This window comes from Homo sapiens, chromosome 6 (assembly GCF_000001405.40).
Source record: "Homo sapiens chromosome 6, GRCh38.p14 Primary Assembly".
NCBI classification, from domain to species: Eukaryota; Metazoa; Chordata; class Mammalia; order Primates; family Hominidae; genus Homo; species Homo sapiens.
Window position 1 is genome coordinate 126,428,385 of NC_000006.12, and position 25,917 is coordinate 126,454,301.

The following is a 25,917-nucleotide window of genomic DNA, read 5'->3' on the forward strand; positions in this document are numbered from 1 at the left end:
TCATGACTTTGTTGAATTTGACTTTGTATTTTGCCATGGTATAGGTGTAAATATACCCTAGCAACTACAAAGAGTTAATATGTTCCTTTGTATTCCTAATACAGTGGTCTAGTGGAGGGTAACTTTGCATAAAAGAGATCTCCTGGAAGATTCTTTTCAATTCTGGGTTTAGGCGCAACACATTCACATGGGAACACCCGCTTTGCTCATTAGAGTGATTGAGAAAATGAAGGAAGACAGTAACTTCACACTACAAGTGATTATACTCCAGTGAAAGAAAGTCTAAAGGCCTCTTCCTCTTTTAAAAATTTTCTTTTACTGGCAGAAAGAAAATTGTCCTCACCACTATAAAGTACTTTGCTCTTGATCCAATGTAGGACCAATCAACTGTGCCTTGTTTTTTTTGTAAAGTTGGATACATAATTTTTCTTGACATAAAATCATATGTGCTCATTTTAGAAAATGCAGATGAACATAAGAAAATAACTATAATTATATATTCCACCTAGAGATAACTTTTGCTACTGTTTTTGTATGTATTCTATTAGTTCTGTTTCTGTATATACTGTATATAGACTTCATTTTTTTCAGTTAACACAAAGAGCACACACAAGCCATCTCAATAATTATTTAATATGTTGAATACATGTTTCATTTTATGTTTGTACAACAATTTATTTAACCTGTTTCTCATTATTAGACATTTAAATTTTCCCAAGTTTTTTTTACTAGTAAATAATGTCTTGATTAATCTCTTTTGTTATTATATCTTCTTGTAGGCTAATGATTATTCCTTAGGATACATCTCAAGAAATACACAAAAATGTCTATCTTTCCACACCCTTGCTAAATCAGAGTATTATTGTTCTATTTCTTTACTTGATAAGTGAAAAACAAATATCTTATTTTAATTTGTGATATAGTTTGGATATTTGTTCCTGCCCAAATCTCGTGTTGAACTGTAATCCCCAATGTTGGAGGTGGGACCTAGTAGAAGATGTTTGGGTCTTGGGGGTGGATTCCCCATCCCTTGGTGCTGTCCCTGCAATAGTGAGACCTTGAGAGATCTGGTTGTTTAAGTCTGTGGCACCTCCCCCCAACTCTCTCTTGTTCCTGCTTTCAACATGTAATGTGCCTACTGCCGCTTCACCCCCTGCCATGAGTAAAAGCTCCCTGCGGCTTCCCCAGAAGCTAAGCAGATGCCAGCCAGCACCATGCATGTACAGCCTGCAGAACCATGTGCCCATTAAAACTCTTTTCTTTATAAATTACCCAGTCTCAGGTATTTCTTTACAGCAATGCAAGAATGGCCTAATACAATTTGCATTTCTTTGCTATCCAGTTAGGCTGAGTTTTAAAAATATATTTATTAATTATTTAGAGTTTTTCCTTATAGGTGTATTATGTTTCAGACAATTTCTACAGGGATCTAAGAATTACTTAGAGTACATTGAGAACAAAAAGTCCTGAAATGCCCCTCTACTCTTTCTCCAAAGTTATTTCCTCTCTTACAAGACAAATGAGACATTTTAATTTTGATACAGTTTTTCTCATGCCTCTATGCCTTTGTCTGTGTTTGTCCTTCTTCCTCAGATATCCTTCCCCACCTGAGAGAAAGCATGTCCTCAGACTCCAAGGTTGGCTCAAATTTCTGTTCTGCCATAGTATTCTGTGGCATCTGTTAGCTCACTTATCATGGAATGCCTGGCTTTAGAGTTAGTGACCTGTGTATGTACCTGGAATAGATTCTGAGCTGTTTTGTGTACTGACTGCATCTTATGCTTTCTCTCTGTGTCTCTCCCCACCCTTGATTTATTCGCATCATGTCTTGAACATATCAGGTGTGTAGTACCTAGTAAATTTATATTTACAAACAAGTGATGAAGGGAAATATAAGTAAAACACAATTTGGCTTTATAACTCTCTTAAGTGAAATGAGCCAGTGCTCAACATAGAAAAGAATGATTTGCCTTGAATAGATTTAAACTTTAATTTAGTATATAAGACTGCTTACATATGATCCATTCAAATAAAATAAAAAAGACATATATATACCAGCATAATTTAAATAATTACACTTTTCATTGTCTGTATCTTTGCTATACATTGAACAAATGGAGCAGGCAGAGTGTTGTTTTGCACATGGGTCTGACAGATTTCCTCCCAATGGGTCCTGTTCTGATTGGGCTGTGATGCTCACTGCTTTGGGAAGAGTCTGAACTCTTTTCATAGTAGTGGGTGGTAGGAAAGGTCGGTTGTTATCTATAAAGATTATTATTGACTCCTGGCTGGGTGCGGTGGCCACGCCTGTAATCCCAGCACTTTGGGAGGCCGAGGTGGGCAGATCACGAGGTCAGGAGATCAAGACCATCCTGGCCAACATGGTGAAACCCCATCACTACTTAAAACAAAAATTAGCCAGCTACTGGGGAGGCTGAGGCAGGAGAATTGCTTGAACCTGGGAGGCGGAGGCTGCAGTGAGCCGAGATGGCGCCACTGCACTCCAGCCTGGGTGACAGAGTGAGACTCCATCTCAAAAAAAAATAAACAAATAAAAAATAAAATAAAATAAGTAAAGATTATTATTGAATCCAACTAGTGAATGTTTTATAAAATAAGAAACACCATATTTTTACTTCATCTTCCTCACCACTATCCTACACACATGCATACAGACATAGTCAAGCCAGGTGAAATCATTACTCTGAGGACAGGAGAATTTTCTTCCTATTTTATCCTAAATATCCTTAGGACAGCCAAGGAGAGGTTAAGTATACTATTTTGATTTTATGAGATAAACACCTGTTGATTTAAAAGTACATAAACTTCTAGTCCATTGGATGATTAGAAGGAGGACCTTTCTTTTTCACCTCCTGAATGCTCTGACCCCAGTGCGTTTTTTGCTTGTTTGTTTTAATCTGCTAATGTTGCATTGCATTTTAAAAGGATATACAATTGAACAAGTGAAGTAAAGCAGAGCAATGGCTGAGATTCTCTCATCCTTCAAGGATTTTTCCTGGCTAAACACAATGTATGAGATTTGGGGATTGTTTCTCCAAACATACACTGAACCTTATTATATAGATGAAACCACTTCAAATGCATTTCCTCTGTTAAGAGTGTTTACATTTTCAAGTAAAGTAAAAGAAGCAGTTTTCTTTACCCCCTGCTTCACAATGAAGCTGGTGAGTTTATCAAACAATCCGTTATTATGAAATTCTAACACACTACTTGCTGTAGGTGGAAATGCAAACAATCTGATTTTTCCTGAGCTCTTAGAATCTAATCTACTTCTAGTCCTAGCTGATATATATAATAAATATGCAACCCACGTTGTTTCATGCCGCAGCAACCTGGAGGAGAGTGTTATGGAGATGGGTTACTAGAAATGAGCAATACTGGCCAGGCGCGGTGGCTCACGCCTGTAGTCCCACCACTTTGGGAGGCTGAGGTGGGCAGATCATGAGGTCAGGAGTTCAAGACCAGCCTGGCCAACATAGTGAAACCCCATCTCTATTAAATATACAAAAATTAGCTGGGTGTGGTGGTGCACACCTGTAGTCCCAGCTACTTGGGAGGCTGAGGCAGGAGAATCGCTTGAACCCAGAAGGTGGAGGTTGTGGTGAGCCAAGATCACACCACTGCACTCCAGCCTAGGCAACAGACTGAGACTCCATCTCACAAAAAAAAAAAAAAAAAAAAAAAAAGAGGGTATTTTTCTTTGGTTCTCATTTTCATCTCCTGTTTTGAGACTTACTTCAATTCAAAGGTTTTCTTTTATCTGGGAATTATGCTGCGTGGCATTCATGTGCTCTCAAATTCTCAATGTCCATAAATACTCATGGCACCTGTCACCCATACTGTCTACTCCCTATGTTCCCAATACACTTGCTCTTAGAAAATACTTTGAGTGTAAGCAATTAGTTGTGTGCTACATCCCACTACCCATGGAACTGGGGTATGGCTTATATCCTGTACCCTACAATGCTGCAAGGCCATTAGCAAGTATGTCTCTGTTGTCTTCCTACTGCTACCCCCTCTCTAGGGGTATATACCAAAGAATTGGCTTGAACCTCAATATCTTACAGTTTTTTTTAAATTAGCTTTTTAATTTTTTTTCCATTCTAATTTGCAGTCTCCATCTCCTTAAAACTCAGATATCAGGTTGAGTCAGGAGACTAATCTGATTAGTGGTAGACTCCTTATTGTACTGACTATCACACTTAGTACCACTCCTGCTCACCAATCCAGCTGTTTTTATTGGCCAAAGTCTATGGACCTGATTCTCATCCATTAAAATGAGCTCTGTCCATTCTAATGCCTCTCACTCAGATAAACATCTGTCTGGCTTGCCTGTATCTGCTAGACCTGGACACATCTGTCTGAATCTGAGCTGTGCATATCACTTAGACTTGGGACCTTCCACACTATGACAATCTCTCTCTCCAAACATAGTCATTGCCCTAAACATAGTTCAAACTTCACATCTAAAATGCCAGTTTGTTCTGCTACCCTAGATAAGGAAGTATTTTTTTAATATGGCCTTCTTATGAAAACTTAAAAACATTTTTAAGAAAACTCTAGGGGAAGGAGTGGCAAGAGAAAACAGTGATTTTGTGCTAGTTGTCCCAGATTTCTGTGAATTGGCCCAGCCTGCTCAGTGGAGGCCTGTCAGTTCTGATTCTTTGATTTGAGAGTTATCTCTGTGCCAATCATATACAGTAGTCCATTGTCTTCAAAAATTTGTATTTTTAAAGATTATGCATGACACATTTCATTTAGAAACACATATTTAGTTTTTCATATTTTTTCTATTCTGAGATTATTTCTACTACAAATAGTAGTTTTTAAGATTCTAGAAAAGGTATTTCTATGTTTAATTCTGTCTTTCCCTCATTTTACTATATATTAGGCCTTGTGCTAGAATCTTTTTATCATGGTAGTTTAAAATGCCCAGGGCTACCTGGTAAGCTGAATAAACCTTGACTGGAGAATACTCTGCATGCATCAGAAACCCAGTGACTGTGTAAGAAGAAGATAATAAGCATTAGCTGCTTATATGATAACTACGTTGTTTTCTCAAGTTAACTTGATTTTATCAGACTGTTGGTATAGTATGTCAGAAAGCAGTGGAGTTTTTCTCTCAGCTTTTTCATTGCTTTTCAGGTATCTGAAAACTGAAGAGTGGAGAATATGTTCAGCAGGGAACAAGAGGATTCTTTTAGAAATAAGAGGTAGAAGGTGAGTAGGAAATTTAGCAAGTTGAAAGAAATTTAAATATATATAAACCAATGTTTTAGATAGTTTAAGAAAGTGCAATGTAAAGTAGCTTTTAGCCAAACCTCTTTTTGGGAAAACGCACAAAATATTAATAGCAAGTTTTAGTCTTAAAAGTCTCAACCTTGTCTTGATTATGGGGGTTATGGGTAAGGGGAACGGCTGAATTTAAAGAAAATTTGCATAGAGGATGATGATAATTATTTTATCACTCTAATCCTTTGCTATTTTGGAAGTATGCCTTTATATATACATAATAAATATGTTTTATTTGTTCTGTTTTATATGAAAGTCAGAGTATATAATTTTGAAGCTGACTAGTGAAGTGACCATTTTACTTGCAGTTATCTTCTCTCTGAATCCATCAGGAAACATTTTAATAGATTTTCTTCCAAGATAGGCAAGCACTTGTAGAAGCAAAGCAGAGTGCTGGTATGCAATTTCAGAAATCTGTTGACTACATGTTCCCATATGTGTTCCAGGAAATTCACATTTGGATTTCAGTACAACTCAAGAGTTATGGTAGTGCTATCCAACACTTTTTTGAATGGTAGTTTGCTTGATACCAACATGAAACTTGCCAAACTCAGCAGGCCAAATCCTAGTTTTGGAATATGTGGGAACCAAGAAATCAGCAGTTAAATGATGAGGGCTGTATCACTTTCAGTCTTCTAAGGAAACAAATTCTACCTAATGGTCTAGAGGGTCATTTTGAATATAACCAATAATCATTTAAAAATGAAATGTCTCTTTTGTGGCATATCATAATACATATAACATTTAATAATAAAAATCTACTCCATTACATTTCTTCTTGTGAATACTGTCTGCAATTTTTCAGCTTTTCAGACTTAATTATAGCTGGCTAGACATGTACAATTATGCTTACCTCTAGAAATGAAAACACAGTAGTATTCATTGTGTGTATGAAAACTACGTTACAAATTCACCTTATAGCTACTCTGTTTCAAAACTGCCCCAGTTAAAGTGAATAGACTGGCATTAAACTCATTGAATACAGAGCTTCACATCTTCTAGTAAAACATTGCTATTAACTTGGCAAAAAAAATGGTGTGTTAAAATTACAATACATATAATAAAATAAGAAATTATAACCCACAGTTGACCAGTCTGTTTCTGTTCCTGAGAATAAGCTACAAAATCTAAGTTCTGGAGGAGACATCAAAGATCAATGATCAAATGCCCAGGCTTTATTTAGCAAAGGTAGAGCCAAGTCATTCAATATGAATTGCTGTCTATTCTATTCCTATTCTAAAGATCCAGATTATGCCATTTCTTCCTTGTCTGTTTCAATGCCTAACCACATAATGAAAAATTATACAATAACTCAATTATGGCCCCTCCTGCTAAGGTTTAAAAATATTCCTTATAATGTTTTTAAAATCTTTCATCTTGTCATGATGTAGAACAATTGGTTAACATTCTCCTTGTAATAGCCTTCCATTCGAAGACAGTAGGTAAAGCATCCACTTCTTTGTCTTAAAACATACAACTTATTTAATGGTATGTTGTAATAATTGTTTTTCCTCTTTTTAATAGTTATTTCTTGGCCTCTGGAAATTTCATTTTAATAACTCTTTCAAAAGTGGAAAAATATTTTTTTATAATGCTCTTGAATGAAAATATGAAAAACGGCAGGTACATTATTTTCTGTCCTTTTTACATAAATCTGTACATTTATGGTGATATTATGCTTACTTTTTTCTATTAAAAGGTTATTTAGTCTCTCAGCCATTGTGATTGATATATCTTTTGTTTTTTCTGCCTTCCTGGTGGTCTACTAGACTTCATCTATCTTATATTTGTTTATATAGAAGGAGAAATTTGGGATGCTTTAGTACAACTTTGTGACTTATCAGTATCCTATGTCTGTTGTGAAACTTAGGTAATTTAAGGCTCATATCCTGCTGTTAAGTAAAAAGATGAATTTAGCATCTTTGTAAATCCTGCAATCTATGTTACTTATGTAATTAATTTTCTCAGATAACCATTATTATTCCAATTTTACTGCTTAAAAATATTAAATGAGAGGCTGAGTCACTTGCCCAGTGTAATGTCTTATTAGATAGAGGCATCTGAAAACCTTTGGACCACTGCCCTTCCCACAAGACCACTTTGCTAATATTTCACTTTATTTGTGTAGATAAAGCCTTGGACTCTTAATGCTTCACTGTTTGTTTTTTGAAAAGTATGCTATCAAATGCAGTGCAAATTTTGGAGAAATAAATACTACACTGTATTTTTTTAATGAAGTAAAAATAATGTTTCAATGCTGTTATGCTTTCATTAAAAGCTTGGCTTATAAATGATTGCATACAGTCAATTGAGATGATACCTTTTGGGACCAACCTTATTATCCAGAGTTTAGCGTTCCGGGGTCAGTGTAGGTAAGAAGGTTTATAATGACAGAAAAATATTTCCTGGCAATGAAATCTCTGAGACTAGAGCTTATCATAATCGATTTGATGTATTTTCTATATTTTTCTCCCACCAATTACATTTACTAGATAATCTAGGTGTAATCCTACCTAGAATCAGGCAGGTGTACTAATCACCTTTGAAAGACTTTTTAGTCTGTGGTTTTGTAAAGCTGAGTAATCAAGGAAATGATAATTTTAACAAAATGCTTTTCAGTCCACCAGAGTTATTTGTTTCCAGGATGTTAGTGTTATGCTACATGATGATAAAAGAAAATGATCACAAATCTGTTAGTTGAGACATCACTTCTATGGAATCTATAGTGTCTTTTGAGGTCCTAGCTTTAGTGAGGACCTTGGACACAACTCTACTTATTAATATCATCCAGATATGATATTTCCTTCTAAATATGAGACATTGATTGGCATTGCAGGGAAATCTATTTTAAATACTTCCATGATGTTAAGGATGCAGTTTAGGGTCCAAGCTCCTGAAATATGAAGCACAATATCAAGGATGAAAACTTTTAAAAATATTTTAGATCAATGACCTCACAAAATTTTTCACTTTCCTTTAGAATGTTTAAAATCTATTTATTTTTAATAATATCTAATCATAACCCCCCTTTTCACCATGTGTCATTAGCCTAAATAAATAAAAATAAATCAGCTGAATTTTGTTTGCTAATAGAAATAAAAGAAAAATAGAACTTACAGATATGCCATCTGATTTCTTTGATTTCTTTTAGGCATATGGCCTGCTTTCTTTCTGGCCCTAGATTAACGTATTAATTCACATGGCTGTTATTTATTAAGATGTATGAATTGATAGTTTACGTTGGAGAGTTAGTTACATTGGAGAGTTGTAGTTTGCATTATGTTGTCACATGATGCAAAGGTCTATAATGGGCATTGAAGCTTTTTTTTTTTCATTCATAGGGTGTGACTTGCTAATTGGTAAACTACATTCGGTCAACCTGTATATGAGTAATTTAAAAGTTTTCATTGATTACGCACAACAGAAAGAGGTCTGTAGACAGTAATTTTTATTTTAATGCCAAACTAAATGGCTCATTTCTTTTAAGCAGTTTCTTAAACAAATGTGTTTAAAATTGCCTGGCATGAAAAAAGGAAGCTAAATTTGTCAGAAAATTAAAATTTAAAGTAAAGCCAGTTTACACTTAGATATTTCTCAAAATTAATCTTTCCATACCATATGTTCTTACATAAAACAATCAGATATATCTGTATCATGCTCATTTTTGACTCTGGCCCAGTTGAATTTGGTTTTCCACCAACTCTGCTGAAGGCCAAGGCCATGGCCCTTATAACTTAAGCCAAATCAGACAACAAGCAGCCACTTTGGCTCCTTGGTTGGTGGAAAGACTTTGTAATGTTATAACCTCAGTTTGAGCAAAAATACAGCTTGAAATTATAGTGTCTTCTGGATTTCTTCACCCAGTTTTGTCTACAAATGGAAATAAGTTTATATACTTACTGAGTAATGGAGACATACTTTAAGAAAGTGCTTTTTAATGTTTCCAAGAATCAAAAAATTAATAATTGTATGGAAGTTGCCATAACAATTTTAAGCTCCTTGACCTTTTATTTTTTTCAAATTATCAATTTTGGTTTTGTTCTACTCTCATTTTATTCACATATGGGAGCTAGAGCCTGAAATGCACATTTTCTAGTGTTGAGTGTTCGGTTTATAATGCTAATATTTCTGCGGGACCCAAAACAAAATGAAATCAGTTGATAGTAGAAGGTTAGCTTTAGAAAACATTGTGCCAATTGTCTCTATTTAAGCAGCCGTATAGCGCTGGAGTATAGACTCCGTAAATAAAATTAGAACTAAAATATAAAAACACTTTTATATGATGAATATTTATTGATCAATTGGAAAACCATGGGAGATTGGCTTTTTTTTTTCTTCCAACAGAGAGACCTTTAAAATTGCCATGATTTTGTATTATTCTCTCATTATTAGTAATTACCCTGGAAGAAAATGTGATGTTAATGCCCAGTAAAATGTAGTCTCTCTCACTCTCTCTCTCTCCCCTCTTCAGACATTCTCTTTGTATTTACTTTTCACACTTTATTTTATAAATTGCAAATTAAATACCTTTCTTAAGGGCTTCTCTTATTATATAAACCTAAATTGGGCTTAACAAATTGAGAAACATATATGAAGTATTTCATTTGGATACAAACCTTAAATAAAAATGTAGCTGAATGATATGTGACCTATTGAAAACTAAATAAAGTAAGGGCTCCTAATGACTAAAAGTATAGAAAGGGAATTATCTGATCTCAACATGACACAGAAAGAAATCTATTTTTTGATAGAAAAAATTAATAACATATTAACATCTGGACTTCATGTGGATACAGTGTTGTTTAACAATTAGCAGCAGTGCCTTTTCAGCTGCATTCCTACATCTGGGAACAAAACATCATAGGAACTAAAAATAAAGACAAGGAGAAAATAAAAAATTGCCTGCTGTAAAATAGCACAGTTACTCTACATTATAAATTAAAGGGATCTTGTCACCCTCTTTGGGAGTACAAACACACTTTCTGCAATAGATACACCCCAGATACTACCCAGAGATGCCCTGTAAACTGATATTTTATTATATATTCAGGGGAAAAGATTATAATTTTATATCATGACAAAATGAGATAGGACTTAAAGATTCATTGAAAATATTTTAAAGTACTTGCACACTGATACACTTTTAATTAAACAAAATACAGCAGTATCAATTGATAGAATAATTATCTTATGTTTCTTTAAGACATAATACACAAGAACTGTTTAAACTTTGTTACATACTTTGAAGAAGGTAGCTTACATAGATACAAAAGAGTATACATTGGTAATTTATGGCTAGCAAAGATATGTATTTTTGTTATGCTTACAAGGAGAAAAATTATAGAATACCAACTATATTGGATGATCTGGATTTTTTTTCTCCTATTAAGAAGGGCAAAATAAATATTTACTTATGCCTAAGAACAATCTGATACTGGCAGTTTTCCTGAGACTGTAATGCAGGTTTGTATTCTCTGTTAAACTGTAGATTCTATGGAAGATACATTCTATAGTTTCTCCAAAGTATTGTAGAATATGTACCACATGTTTTCTGATGCTGCTTATCTTTTAATTGGCTGGAGAATAAGCCCATATGGTAAACACAAGCATGGCCTGTAGTTCATCGTAGGGATGAAAATATTCTCCAGAGATTTGAACTTTGCTTGTCAGATCCTTCTGGGCCCACTTGAAAGAGGTTGGTTATTGCCTCTGACATTGGACTGATAACCCTAGAGCAAGAAGGAAGCCTGAAAACTTTGGCCTATCAGACTTGGTTATGCATGTATGAGGGTTTTCTCTGGGACTTCTCAGGGAAAGAGGAGTTTTTTCCTCTTCCTTGGTTTTAGCTATTATTTCTTTATTATATTGAAAAGTTTCAGTCTATCAATCAATTGCTATTGTTCTGAACAACTGACCACTAATATTTGTACATGAATGTTTGTACCAAATTGATTATTTTGGCCACTTGAAGACGGCTGTAGTTTATCAAAGCTAAAAAACTTTGAAATATACCTGCTTTAGGCCAATGAAGCCAAAGATTTCTAACCACTCTCTCTAGGCCTTCTTATACTTCAGGCCATTTCCAAATTCTATAGCCAAGATCATGGTATTCCCCTGGAATCATTAAACTATTTTTTCTTCATGACTTTCTGTATCATATTTAAACCATTCATCCATAACTTCAAGTAATTCCTAACCTCTACCTTCATCTCTTTCCACACTTTCCTATTCTTCAGCTCATAGGCTTTCACAAATTTTATTTTTCCATTTGATTTCTTTACCATTTTGATTGCAAACAGAATTATGAAATGTCTAAGTTAGATCATTTTTGGTAGTCAAACTTTGATGAGCAGATGCATTTATTAACACATCTACTTCTAGAAGGCAAAAGTCTCTCACTCTTCATTGGGTCTACTTATATTTAAATGATTTTACATGTATGTAGGTATGGCTGCCTAGGAAGAAGGAAGAAGAGTTTTAAAGAAGGGGATTCATTCATAGGTGAGAGCATGAATAAATATAGTTTGTTTCCTAAGCTCTAAACGTAGCCATAAGCAATATATAGTTTGTATAATTCCTTAAACTCTAAAAGTAGCCATAAGCAATGAACACTGAACTAAAAAGAGAAAAGACAGTATACCTTCCATCTCAAAGAATGGGAATTTCAGAATCTGACTCTATTGTATTGCAAGTGCCACTAGGAGTTATTATTTTGTTAAAAAGTAATTTAGTAACATTTATGTTGTTTTACCCTTTTTAAAAGTAGCATCTAACATATTCTAAATATTCATCAAAAGATAATTATTTTTCTTAATTTTAATAAATTTAAAAGGCAATCTAGAATTCAACTATAGTTCTAATTAAAGAAGTATATGCTAATATATAGAGAACATGTTATAGATGTCTACAGAAGAAAAAAGGATCATATCAAACAAACTGAACATGTATCTGCAAAATCAACTTATTTTCATAAAGGTCAGAATATAGTGGGGTATTTTAGCAGATATATACCTTCTAAAAAAGTCATCCTTCTGCTATATTTGGCATTAATTAGATAAATTAGATTATATGGCCTAGCTTAATAACATTTTAATAGAGGATTTGAAAGGACTGGAGAAGCCTAGAAGGATGATGAAAGGTATTCAGAAAGAATGGTCCATTTGAGGAGGGTCAGAAGTGTTAGCTATGTTTGTATTAGAGAGGGAAAACATAGGTTGCTTTTAAGTACTTTAGACCACAACGGAAGATATTTATTTGAGTTTACCTAGTAAGAATTTGACTCCCTTCTAACATAATTTTTGTACAATAGAAACTAGAAGACTAATGTCACACTTCTCAGAATCCTTTGCAGTATGGCAGATTCTGCTAATGTTCTACAGTCTACCAAGCAGATATACCCAATTAAGATTGGCAGGTGGAAGTGAGCAGTAGTGGTTATGTAAATGAGATCTGGTCAGCTGGCAATCCTGATAGTGGAGGCAATTAGTTCTGTTATGGCTAGCAACGATCTAAGTTTCTGGTAACTAGTCCCTGGTGTCTTAGGTGTTAAGCAGCAAGATGATAGCTGTTTAGCTGTCATGTGGACACTAGAATAGCCTATAGAAATTTGGGCATTTTCCTTGGATGCTCTGTTCCTGACTCTAGTAGCCAAACAGAATTTTTTGTTCTCCCAGAGATTCTGTAAACTGCCGAACTTCCCTCCATTTCCTGCCACAATAATCCTCTTTCTTCTAAAACTAGGATAGTGGATTACTTAAAAAAAAAAGTTTAAAAATTTCTATAGGTTTTGGGGGAACAGGTGGTGTTTGGTTACATGAATAAGTTTAGTGGTGATTTCTGAGTTTGGTGCACCCATCATCTGAGCAGTGTACACTGTGCCCAAGTTTAGCCTTTTGTCCCTCACCCCTCTCCCACCCTTTCCCCCAAGTTCCTAAAGTCCCTTCTATCATTCTCATGCCTTTGCATCCTCATAGTTTAGCCCCCACTTATGAGTGAGAATATACAATGTGTGGTTTTCCATTCCTGAGTTACCTCACTTGGAATAATTGTCTCCAATTCCATCCACGTTTCTGTGAATGCTATCATTTCGTTCCTTTCAGGGCTGAGTAGTATTCCAGGGTATACATATGCCACGTTTTCTTTATCCACTCATTGATTAATGAGTATTCGGGCTGATTCCATATTTTTGCCGTTGTGAATTGTGCTGCTATAAACATGCGTGTGCAAGTATCTTTTTCATATAATGACTTCTTTTCCTCTGGGTAATACCCAGTAGTGGGACTGCTGGATCAAACAGTAGTTCTACTTTGAGTTCTTTAAGGAATCTCCACACTGTTTTCCACAGTGGTTGTACCAGTTTACATTCCCACTAACAGTGTAAAAGTGTTCACTTTTTACCACTTCCATGCCAACATCTATTATGTTTTGATTTTTTGGTTATGGCCACTCTTGCAGGAGTAAGGTGGAATCACATTGTGGTTTTGATTTGCATTTCTCTGATAATTAGCGATGTTGAGCATTTTTTCATATGTTTGTTGGCCATTTGTATAGCTTCTTTTGAGAGTTGTCTATTCATGATCTTAGCCCTTTTTTTGATGGGATTGTTTGTTTTATTCTTGCTGATTTGTTTTAGTTCCTTGTAGATTCTGGATGTTAGTCCTTAAATAGATGGGACATAATTACACTAAAAAGCTTCTGCACAGCAAAAGAAATGATCAGCAGAATAAACAGACAACTCACAGAGTGGGAGAAAATCTTCACAATCTATACATCCAGCATAGATTGCTTTTTCTGTGAATAAGTTTTCTGCTTGCTACCTCTATTAATCAAATTTCTTTGCAATAATAACTAATGGATATTTTTTACATGGCACCATTTTAAATACTATCTCACTTAAACTTTACATCTACTTCATGAGCCTCTAAGTTTCCCCAAAACCCCTAGTGGTTACTCACAAAAAGATAGTCAAATCTGGCTCTCTCTTGATATGACCATTTCTGAGAAGGATGAATAAAGAAAGTGGGTTCAAATGTAAGTCAAAAAGAGATCATTTTAGGCATAAAAATAAGCAGTTTAATAGAATACTACTTACATCTATGGAACAGACTAATCAGTGAACTCAAAGTTTTATCACTGAACACCCTTAAAATGACAGGGTTGGGGCCAAGGAATCATTTGTTAGACTAGACCTCGTTTGACATACTTTTTTTTAGCATTTCAGTTCTTTATTTTTATACATAGAATTTCTAAATTTCTATTTGATCACTGTGATCTGATGTTATTGTCTTCATAGTGCTAATGTAATTTTATGACAATGTGATTATTTAATAGAAAGATGAGATTTTTATAGTCAGCTGTTTATTTTTTCTAAGAAATGGAACTACAAAATATTTAAAATTATACAGTAATTCCTCAACATCATTATATATCCAAAAAGTATTAAAATTTTCTCAATTGCTTCATAAATTTTTTTAAGAATTAGTTTTTTCAAATCAGAATTCAAAGTATACATATTACAATTTTTTGACATGTATCTTGAGTCTCTATTGATCTGTAAGCCTTCTTCACCCCTAATTCTTCCTTGCAATTTATTTGTAGAAGAAACTGCGTAATTTGTCCAGAAGAATTTCCCACAGTCTGGATTTTGCTCACTGCATTCCTGTAGAGTTATTCAATATGTTCTTCTTTTCTCTGTGTTTTCTGTAAACTAGCGGGATTTGGAAACTTTTTCAAATTCAGGTTTGATTTATTTTTGCATAACAAAAATACTTCATAGATGGTAATGTGTACTTTTATCAGGAGGCACATGCCTGGTTATTTCTCTTAGATCCTTTATTTCATTAAGGACTGGTGATATTCTAACTCCATGGTACCTTCATTTATTATCTAACAACTTCTCTAAGGTAACTAGTAAGTTTATTCTATTTTCTATATTCTCTTTTCTTTCTCCCTGCACTTCTTAATAATTGTGCTATATGAACATTATCATGACATATAGCCATTATATGCTATAATGCTTTCCTTGCATTTATTATTTAATCTTGGTTCTATAGGTAAATAAGAATTTAATTATTACTACTGCTCCTTATATGTGATCCTTATTGCCCACTCTCCAGTCATTTTGGTGTCTGAAGTTTGTTCTGTAGTAGAATACTATGGAAGAGCTCTATGGGGCAATATTTCTTGAGTTCTTGTGTGTTCACAAAAAGTTCAACACTTTTATTTGTAGGTCACTTAAAATGCATATAAAGTCCTTGGCTCACATTTTCTTTCCTTGAGACTCTCAAATATATTAAGATATTTCATTGTCTTCTGTCATAAAGCATTGCTGTTAAAAAGCATGACGTCAATCAGGTCTTTTTTTTTTTTTCCTTTATAAGTGACTTGGTCTTTTTGTTTAGACACTGGAAGGATCTTTTTAATTTTTTTTTAAAAGTTATTTTTACTAGAACATGTTTCCCTGTGGTCTCTTCTGGTTATTTTTTTTCTAGGTATATGGTTTGTTATTTCTGTACATATGTAGCTTAAAGTATTTATTTCAGAAAAGTTTTCCTGAACTTACATTTTGGTCTGGATTCTATTCTATTGCTGTAGGTGTCTTCTTTGGAGACTTCTACTACATATGTGTTTGATTTTGCTTGCCTTTTTCTATCTCTCATCACTTTCTTTTAAGTTGTTTTTCTATACTCACTTTTATATTTTACTTAAATTTTCCTTTTTCTATATTCTGTTTTATAAGGTGCTATCCATGTATCCAAATGCTTTTTTCACTATTCAAATCCATTTATTTGTTCTTGTATTCCTTTAGGTTTAGTCATCATTTCTGAAATGATTTTTCTTTTATTTCTAAGTCTTTCTTGAGTTTTGTTCCCTTTCTTTACAAATATTCTTTTTCTTCCCTTCAGCTCATTTCTGACTGTTTCTAATTTTTCTGCTATTCTTTCATAGTTTCTATTATTTTATAAAATTCTTTTAGATTGTTTTGAAATATTAGGAAATATTTTTATCTGTTTTATGGGATGTTTCCTGGCATGCCTCTATTATCTACATGAATATTATCCTTTTTCCTTACAAAAACTTTACATGTGATCTGTCCACAATACATTCCTCTTCCTGATTTTAAATGAAAAGGATTTTCTTGTATTCAAAGAAAGGGAGGGTCAGATGAGCCTGCCCAGTTTTGTGGCTCTGGACTTCTCCATACTTCTATCCTGGAGCTTCTCTTTCCTTTACCCTTAATGTTTCCACCCTGCTTCTACTTAGGGATTTTCCTCCAAGGCATTTCTTCTTAGGTTGGGCACTTGTTTTGAAAGGGTCCCTTCACAGCAAATTATGTTGGTCAAGACTCCCCTGCATGATCTTTCTGTTCTGTGGTCCCTTGAACTCACTCATGAATTGCAGCTTTTGAATGCCTTCAAATTGACTCACTGAGCTTTCACCACTAGAGAGGACACTTTATTTTGAGGGTAAATATCTGTTAGAAATTTGCTTTCTAACAGGCTCACCAGAGGTACTTTTCTCTTCTCTGCTTTCTCCCATACAGGGGCTGATACCATGTGGGTCTGATATAAGGTCAAATTTTGGTATTGTAGGAACACCCATTTTGTGAATTCAGCTACAGATGTTGGCCATAAAATTTTGTTTTGTCATTCTAGCTTCTTTGTTTTATTGAAGGTTTGGAAAGATTAAAATACCAGGCCAGTGTAACCTATACTATCCTGCTAGAAACCAGTAATCGGTTTATTCTTAATCTTATTTCATGACTCTAAGAGGATTTGAACTCTTTTCCTTGAAGATTTAATTAACAATCATTTTGCATATTTGGGGCAGGAGTCTATACATTTAACTATCTGCTTTTTTGAGATCTTTGCCATTGTTATATCCTACCATACAATTTAGTCATTTCAGAAAAGCAGTTACCTAAATAAACTCTTAACTAATTGAAAATGTGCTCTTTGTAAATGTGTATGTATACACAGAAATTTACAATATATAATACATATCTATGCAGTATATATATATAAAGAAAAACACATTAAAATTGATTTAGCTTACAAATTATTTTAGAGTTTCTTTAAATTAAAAAAATGTGAATTTATTTTACTTATAAAAGACTCAGGAATGCATTCCCATTTGAATCGTTTTGCTTTTATCCTAAATGTTTTCTTCTCACCTAATAAAAAGGGAAGGAATGTTTTGCCAAGCTCAAGACCCATTTGGATATGCGGTTTCTAAACATCAAGCCCAAATTGAACACTTTGGAGTTTAACCTTGTTTGGTTTTAGCTAAAATGGCTTCCTGTTTCTAAGAAAGGATAAAAAAAAATTCCAAAACTCAATTGAAACGATCACAATTCTTTTCCAAAACCCAGTGGCTCACATGACAAAACACTTTGATGAATTAAGTAGAAATGAACTGGAAAATGTAAATTAAATTCACCTGTAAAATATAGTTGGTTTTATAAATTCATAAAGGGGGTAGTAAACTGAGACAAATGTCCTTGGGAAAACGGCTGCCAGGACTTGGCCAAAGAGTGTTTGAAAAACACTGCTGCTGGAGATATTATAATGAACCCAGAATACATGCAGTTTTTGTGTTTTTCCTTCTTATAATTTTGCTGTACTTATTCCCACAGCCAACTTCAAATGACCCCCTCCCTGGCCCCCCCACAAGAAAAAAACAGGGCAGCTGAAAAGTTTGCTTAAACTTCTTAATACTTTTAATCCTTACTTGTTATAATTTGATTACTGAGACAGACTTTCTCTGTGGGCCTCCTATTAAATCACTTTCAAGTTGAAACAAACCAGAAATCCTTTTAAATAACAGAGCTAGTATTCACTATAAGCTGCTCAGAATTTATACAGAAACTGTAGACTGTCTCTTCTAAAATGTTGTAAATATGCCCAGAGGCTACTGTGATGGGTTTATCCTTCCAACCTAACCAAAAATAAAATAAGTAAATGAAGTTACTTGATGTTCTGGGTTATAAAGTAGAGGACAATGTTATTCAGGCTTATATCTGATTTTATTTATTTCCATATTATTAGATATCAACATAGATAAAGTTACTTCAAATTAACATTGTACGTAGTTTTTTCTCTATGTATTCAATAGTACGTCATTTGGTTTGATATTGTGAGGATCTGGTCCAAAATAATCTTTATATTATATATTTTAACATGGAAAATAAACTGTTTAATCATGTTTAAATGATTTTTTCTGTCTATTTTGGGCTAGTGTCAGATCAGAATATCCAAGTTTGATACAGATCTTATGCCTCTAAGAAGCTATTTTGAATTATTCACCTGGAAGGAGTAACCCAAACTAGAAAATTTGTAACAGCTGAGGCCTACCTGCTGTTATAGGGGGATGGGATGTGGAGTGGAAAGAACAATAAGTACAGTAACTCTCAACCTTTTGTGTGCATAGATATTTTCAGGAGGAACTCTTAAAAATACAGAGGCTTAGCTCCAGAGATTCAGACTCAGTAAGCTTAGAATAATGCCCAGGAATCTGCATTTTATACATGTGATACTGCAAGTTGTCTTCAGACCTTAATTTGATAAATAACTTTATTAGAATTTTAGATGCCAGGTAAAGAATCCAAGCACAATTTGTGAACTTTAGTGGTCAGGAGAGAATTGTTTTTTGAAAAAGAAAATTATCAATTGTGCTGTAAACAGTGGCAAATAAAAAGTTGGGACAAATAGAAGCAAAAATTATGAAAATGACAGGTAGCTTGATGTTTGAAGAAGACTGATTAAATAGAGAATGGAAGTATGTATGGTAAACAATAAGGAGCTTACACTACTTTCACATGAAACAGAAAGAGAGATTTGTAGATATTAGTATTGAAATAGATACAGTGTTTTAAATGTCCATGTTCACTTCACTCAGTTCTTCCAGGTATGATGTCAGACCAGCCACTACAATATCAAATTGGGCCTTTGTCCTGAGCAGCTTGCTCTGACTGCTTTATACTTTATGTTCCTGATTTCCTGGCTTGTCACTCCATGTCTCATTTCTCTACTGACTGCTCTGGCTCTATGATTGCCATACATTGCCTTGGTCAGATCCTGCTCCCTCTATCTACCACTCCTGAACCAAGTAATACCTTGAAGAGCTAGGCCTCCTGGAACTGGAATCGAGGTTGGTCCTGTTCCTATGTGTTTACAACCACCTCTTATCTCCATTCACTGTTCCACTTCTTGTGTTGCTCCTCCGGGCATTGACTGAAGGAAAACTTTGCTTTCATGAATATGTATTATTCGCTTCCTGTTCCAGGGTCAGCCCCCTATAGCCAGGTGAGTCTCTATTGAATTTTATGGTCCTCAAATTTTTATGTTCACTATAATTATCAGCAGAGTATGTTAAAAATAAGATTGCTCAGACTAGCAGTTATGGAGAGCAAAGATTAGTGCTACCCCAGGTGTCATCCTTAGACAGGTAGCATCAGCATCACCTGGGAGCTTGTTAGGAATGTAAATTCTTGGGTTTGACTCAAGACTTACTGAATCAGGATCTCTAGCGGTGCAGCCCAGCCATCTATGTTTTATCAAGGTAAGCCCCAGCTTAACTTACTGATTGTGAGTGATACCAGTGCCAGCCTCTGGTACTTAATATGTAGTCTGATCTCAGACCTACTGAAACAGAACCTGTATTTTAACAATATATGTGGGCTTTCAAAAGTACTGGCCTGATAACTGTATTTTTAATAAGTTGTTTCCATGGATTTAGGCATCAGAAAGTTGGAGAACATGTGCACTAACACATGTTCTACAATCAAGTGTGGGGTAGTACTGTTCAGTCTCAGCTTGATGTTTCTTGAAACATTTTCTGTTTAAATATATTTGTCCTAGTGCCCCATGGTTCATAGCACCAACTTTGGGTAATATCCATGTTTCAGAGCTGATCTGAGGCTTGACTACTTAATACCTATAAAACCTTTTGAGATCTTCTGGTAAATCCTAGGGTCAAGGAAGCATCCATATATTTGAGGCTTTGCTGTCACTGGTACTGTAATAGGTTTTTTACCATGACATTCATATAACTCCCTGCAAAGGATAAATCCACTCTCAAATCAGGTTCTACGACAAAAGAAATAAACCAAAAAAACAGAAATAAAACAACACTAAGCCTATACCCACCTGTCTCCCCCAAAAGTCGGTTAAGAACCAATGAAGTGTTCATATATATTCTTTCATTATTCATTCAAACTAAATATTCAAACTGAATATTCATTCAAACTATCTTGCTCTAACCAAGAAGCTCTGCTGTTTGCCATGTCTTATCTGCCATTACCATAAATTCCCAAGCATGAACTATAATTTCTGAATAATGGGTCAACTGATGCCATGTTGTCTTTAGAGATATTAATACAAATATTTACTTCACAATGTATGTAAAAAAACAAACCTTCTTTGATCTCTTTTAAAGATATCTAAACCTTTTATTACATTTTCTTAAAAACAGAAATGAGACCAAATATACTCCACCTCCACTGGATGCTGTTTGGATGAGTAGACATATTCATTTCATTAGAGATGATATTAAAATCATAACCCTTATCACACCATCTACCTTGTAATGTAATTACTTGTGCATGTATCTATTTTCCCACTAAATTTTTAGCCTCTAGAGAACAAAGACTGGGACTTATTTATATTTGAAATTCCCACAGTGCCTAGTGGTGCCTTGCAAAACCTTGACAAATATTTACAGAATGAAAAAATGAATGATCTCCTTACTCCTTCCTAATACTGGAAATTGGTTCATTCTGTGTCTCTTTAGTGTATTGCTAACCAAACTTCTGGCTAACCAGTAAGACAACTCAGAGCTCAAATCTTAAGAAGCTACTTGACTGCTGTGACAGGGACCAATTAATCTCTGCAGATTTACCCATTTTCTCTGCTCTGTCAGAATAGACTGTGGATTAGGTGAAACTAGTAAATAGCTTCACAAAGAAAATAACTAATGTTGATTTTTATCGCCAGTACAAACATAGCCTTCTCAACTCTTAAAATTAATGACCTAAAAACCTCATAATAATTTCCTATCCATCAAGCCTTCTATAAATATCCTTGCTCACAACATAGGGAATAGTACAGAAATACTGAAAATAATTATGCCAACTAATCTTTGGGAAAGGGTAAACTAAAAGAAAATGACCTTAGTTAAACAATAGGAAATTGCAGTTTTGTAGGTGAAAAATGATTGAATATTAACAATTTCCTATGTTTCAACTTAATAGCTTTTTGCACTTCCCAAGCACATTGTATTTGAAATTTCCACAGTGCCCAGCAATGTCTTTCAAGTAAAAGTAGTTCTTTCAAGTAAAAGATTCAATTTCTGTCAACTCCAACTGTTCAGAAGATGCATGAGTTTTGTAAACCAAGGTTTAAAGACACTGATAGTTAAAAGCTCTGTGGATTAAAAATTGAGTTCTGCTTTTATTTGTTTTCTAATAAAAAGTTTCAAGATAAGACCAAATGGAAATTGGAATATTTTGCTATATCTTCTATGTTGTAGTTGTTAAACAATATGTATTAAATCACTTTCGGCATTTGTTAAAATGTAAATGTGTAAGACTGACTTACTGAATCAGAATCTTGGGGTAAAGCTCCTGAAGTCATAATTTTTACTAAGTATTAAAGATGAATCTTATCATACCAAATCTGGTGAGAAACACTGAATTATACAGCAACCTTTCCATGGATGAGATAATTGAAGTCTGAAGACATTAAGTGATATATTCTGATGTCATACAACCAGTAAGTACTAGAGTTGGTTGTCTCATTCAGGCCTTTTGATTCATAGTTCCATTTTTTCTTCTACCACATGAACTGAACAGAAAAAAGCTTTTTGACTTATTAATTTTTTAGATATCCTTTGCTTTTTTTTCATTTTATTGCATTTGTTACACTCTGAAAATGAGAAGCAACTCATGGAAAGGCATGCTCATGTAGCTATTTTTCCTGTAAAGGCATGAATTTTCCACAGTATTATTCAAGCTTGCTTACTATTAGATTTACAGAATGTTATATATTAATTTACATAATCCACTTTGTAGTTTTAGTGGCTGCATCTAACAATTGTCAAATTTATTTTTCTCCTTATAGGTAAGGAGAAAATCTTATAGGTAAATTTTAGAAAAATTAACAATACAACATTTAACCTAGAAAGTTTTAATGGTGAATTCCCATTGTCAGTGAATGAATAATCCATGTTATTTGAACTTCAGAAAAATGAGATATATAAAAAACAGTATATAAAGCTGCCACAATTCTATGTAACCCAGAAGAAAAAGAAGAAAACTATGGAAGCAATTATACTTATGAGTATAAATGCAAAATTTCTAATTAACATATTAGTAATTCTGTTTCAGCAAATATTAAGGGAATAGTGCACCAACTTTGAATGGGATTAATATTAGGAGTATAGTCAAAGTTAAATATTAGAAATTTTTCTACATCTTTATTTTAAAATTTAATGGATTCTGCTTTGGGGCAGAATAGAGTAGGCACACCCTACCTGTCTCTCCCACTGATTGCAACTATAAAACTTTGACAGAATGCATGGAAAATAATTGAGTACTCAGAATGAAATATTAGCAAGCAGAGTAGGGAAGAAGACTAGAATTCAGTATACCAAGAAAAAGCCTACAGGTTTATCATTTTTCTCCCATTGGTGTTCTCTGGCCTGAACGTACATCCTGAAACCTGGATTTGGGCATATGTGAAGAAAGAGAGATCTCTAGGAAAAGCCCTCTAGTTCCAGCTCGAGGAAAAGGAAATTAAACTTCTTAATCTCAGAAAGATAATATAAGATTCTTGAGTTATTTTTTCTCTATTTTCCTGCACACTGGTCCCCAAGCAAGCTTGTAGGGTGGATAAAGAAGCTTCAATGGGAACCTGCAAGGAGACTAAATTTGGGAGAGAGGAAACCTTCTGATCAGTGGAGGCATGACCTCCAAGATGGTGGGATAAACACCCTCCTCCCCTCTTGCTCTCTTCTCCCCTTTCCTCTTGCCACTTAGCTCTACATATGGGTTCAGTCACACAAGTGTGTGACAGGAGTAAATAAAATTTCAGCTTTTTGGTAGGAGGTATGAAAACTGGAGCCCAAGAAATTTGGTTAGTATTGTGGCAATCATGGGGAGGATGGAGCTCAGGGAAATGAGTCCACAAATAGAAAATTAATTCCTGAGCTCATCTTTGAGATGCACATGTGTGGATCTGATCCTAATAACTATACGAAAGACTTTCAGACATGAATTAACCAATAGACCCCCCACCCAGGTCATAGACTGATACTGGTTGGTGCACATGTGGAACAGGTACAAATAGAAATGCAAAGGCTTTGACAACTGAAGTGACATTGAAATCATAGACTGCAGAAGATGGGTTAGAACTTACAGCCTAAACTTACCCAAATTGATTTCCTACTGAAAGGAGAATATCAACATTTTCAATGAGATTTAAGTAGGACCTACTATCTCATAGTGTATTATTCAAAACATCCAGGATTTAATTCAAAATAACGTGATATATGAGAAAATAAGAATATTTCAACTTGCATAGAGAAGAACTGAGATTCCAGAACAAATGACACAGGTGTTGGAATCATCGGACAGAAATTTAAACATCTTATTGTAGAAATGCTACAGCAAGCAATTGCAAACACTTCTGCAATGAATGTAAAAATAGAAGATTTTACAAAAGAAATAGAAGATATACAGGAGAACGTATTAGAAATTTAAGAGCTGAGAAAAGAGTAGCAACAACAACAAACCAAACCAAATTCTCACTGAATGGGGTCAAGAGCAGAATAAAGATGACAGATGAGAGTAAGTGGACTTGAAAATGGGTCAATAGGAATTATATAAGTAGAACAACAGAGGAAAAAGATATTTTTAAAAACTAAGAGCAGCCCCAGGAACCTGTGGAGCAATGATAAAATATCTAAAATTCATGCTATCAGAGTGCCAAAGAGAGAAAAAGTGCAGTACTGAAAAAAACTTTTTGAAAATAATGTCTAAAAAATTATCAAGTTTGGCAAATGACATAAACTTAGAGACTTAAATTTAGGCAACCTCAAGCATGATGAAGCCAAATAAATCCATGACCAGACACATCATAATCAAGCTGATGAAAGCTAAAGACAAAGAAAAATTATTAAAATAATCCAGACAAAAATGATCCATTACTTATAGAGGAACAATGATTTGACTTTCTGTAATTTCTCGTCAGACACATGACAGGCCATAAAGAAGTGGGACCACATATTTAAAGTGCTAAAAGAAAGTAAAGAAAATTATTGTCAACTCAAACTCTTTATTCAGCAAAAACTTCCTTCAGATATGAAATTACAGTAAAATAGACATTCTCAGATGAAGGGAAACTAAGGGATGGAGAGAAAGCAAGCAACTTGGAAAACATATTTGAAGATATCATTCATAAAAATTTCCCCAACCTTGCTAGAGAGGCCAACATTCAAATTCAGGAAATGCAGACAACCCCTGTGATATAATATAGGAGATGACCATCCCCCAGACACATAGTCATCAGATTCCCCAAGGCTGAAATGAAGGAAAAAATGTTAAAGGCAGATAGAGAGAAGGGGCAGGTAACCTACAAAGGGAACCCCCTTCATGCTAACCACGGACCTTTCAGCAGAAATCCTATAAGTCACAGGAGATTGAGAACCTATGTTGAGAATTCTTAAGAAATTTCATTCAAGAATTTCAAATCCAGCCAAACTAAGCTTCATAAGGGCAGGAGAAATAAGATCCTTTTTAGACAAGCAAGTGCTAAGGGAATTTTCTACCACTATACCTGCCTTGCAAGATGTCCTTAAGGGAGTGCTAAATATGGAACAGAAAGATTCCTACTGGTCACCACAAAAACACACTTAAGTACATAGACCAGTGACACTATAAAGCAATCACACAAATAAGTCAGCATAATAACCAGGTAATGATATGAGGACAAGATCAAATCTGCACATATTAATATTAAGCTTAAATATAAATGGGCTAAATGGCTTAATTAAAGGGCACATATTGGAAGGCTGGATAAAGAAGCAAGACCTGATGATATGCTGTCTTCAAGTGATCCATGTTACAAGCAATGACACCCATAGGTGCAGGGTAAAAGCATGAAGAAAAATCAGCCAAGCAAAGAGAAAACAGAAAAAAGCAAGGGTTGTAAGTCTAACTTCAGAAAAAACAGACTTTAAACTGGCAAAGATCAAAACAAAACAAAAAACAACAACATAAAGAAGGGCACTACATAATGGTAAAGGGTTCAATTCAACAAGAAGACCTAACTATCCTGAATATATATGCATGAGCACAGGAGCATCTAAATTCATAAAGCAAGCTCTTAGAGCCCTACAAAGAGACTTAGATAACCACACAATAATAGTGGGAGACTTCAACACCCCACTGACAGTATTAGGTACATCATCAAAGCAGAAAACTAACACAGATATTTGGGACCAGAGCTTGAAACCTGACCAAATGGGCCTAATAGACATCTATAGAACTCTCTACCCCAAACCAACAGAATATAGATTCTTCTCATGTGCACATGGCACATACTCTAA

The 25,917-nt window shown here is 34.5% G+C and overlaps 1 protein-coding gene across 1 annotated transcript in view; it reads left to right on the plus strand.

The window, feature by feature from the left end:
• CENPW (centromere protein W) overlaps window positions 1-25,917 on the plus strand; it is a 143,206-nt gene that overhangs the window by 88,270 nt on the left and 29,019 nt on the right. The window contains exon 3 of the transcript NR_104462.2: window positions 5,167-5,241. The gene's annotated coding sequence lies outside the window, so the exon portion shown is untranslated. The remainder of the gene's footprint in view (window positions 1-5,166; window positions 5,242-25,917) is intronic.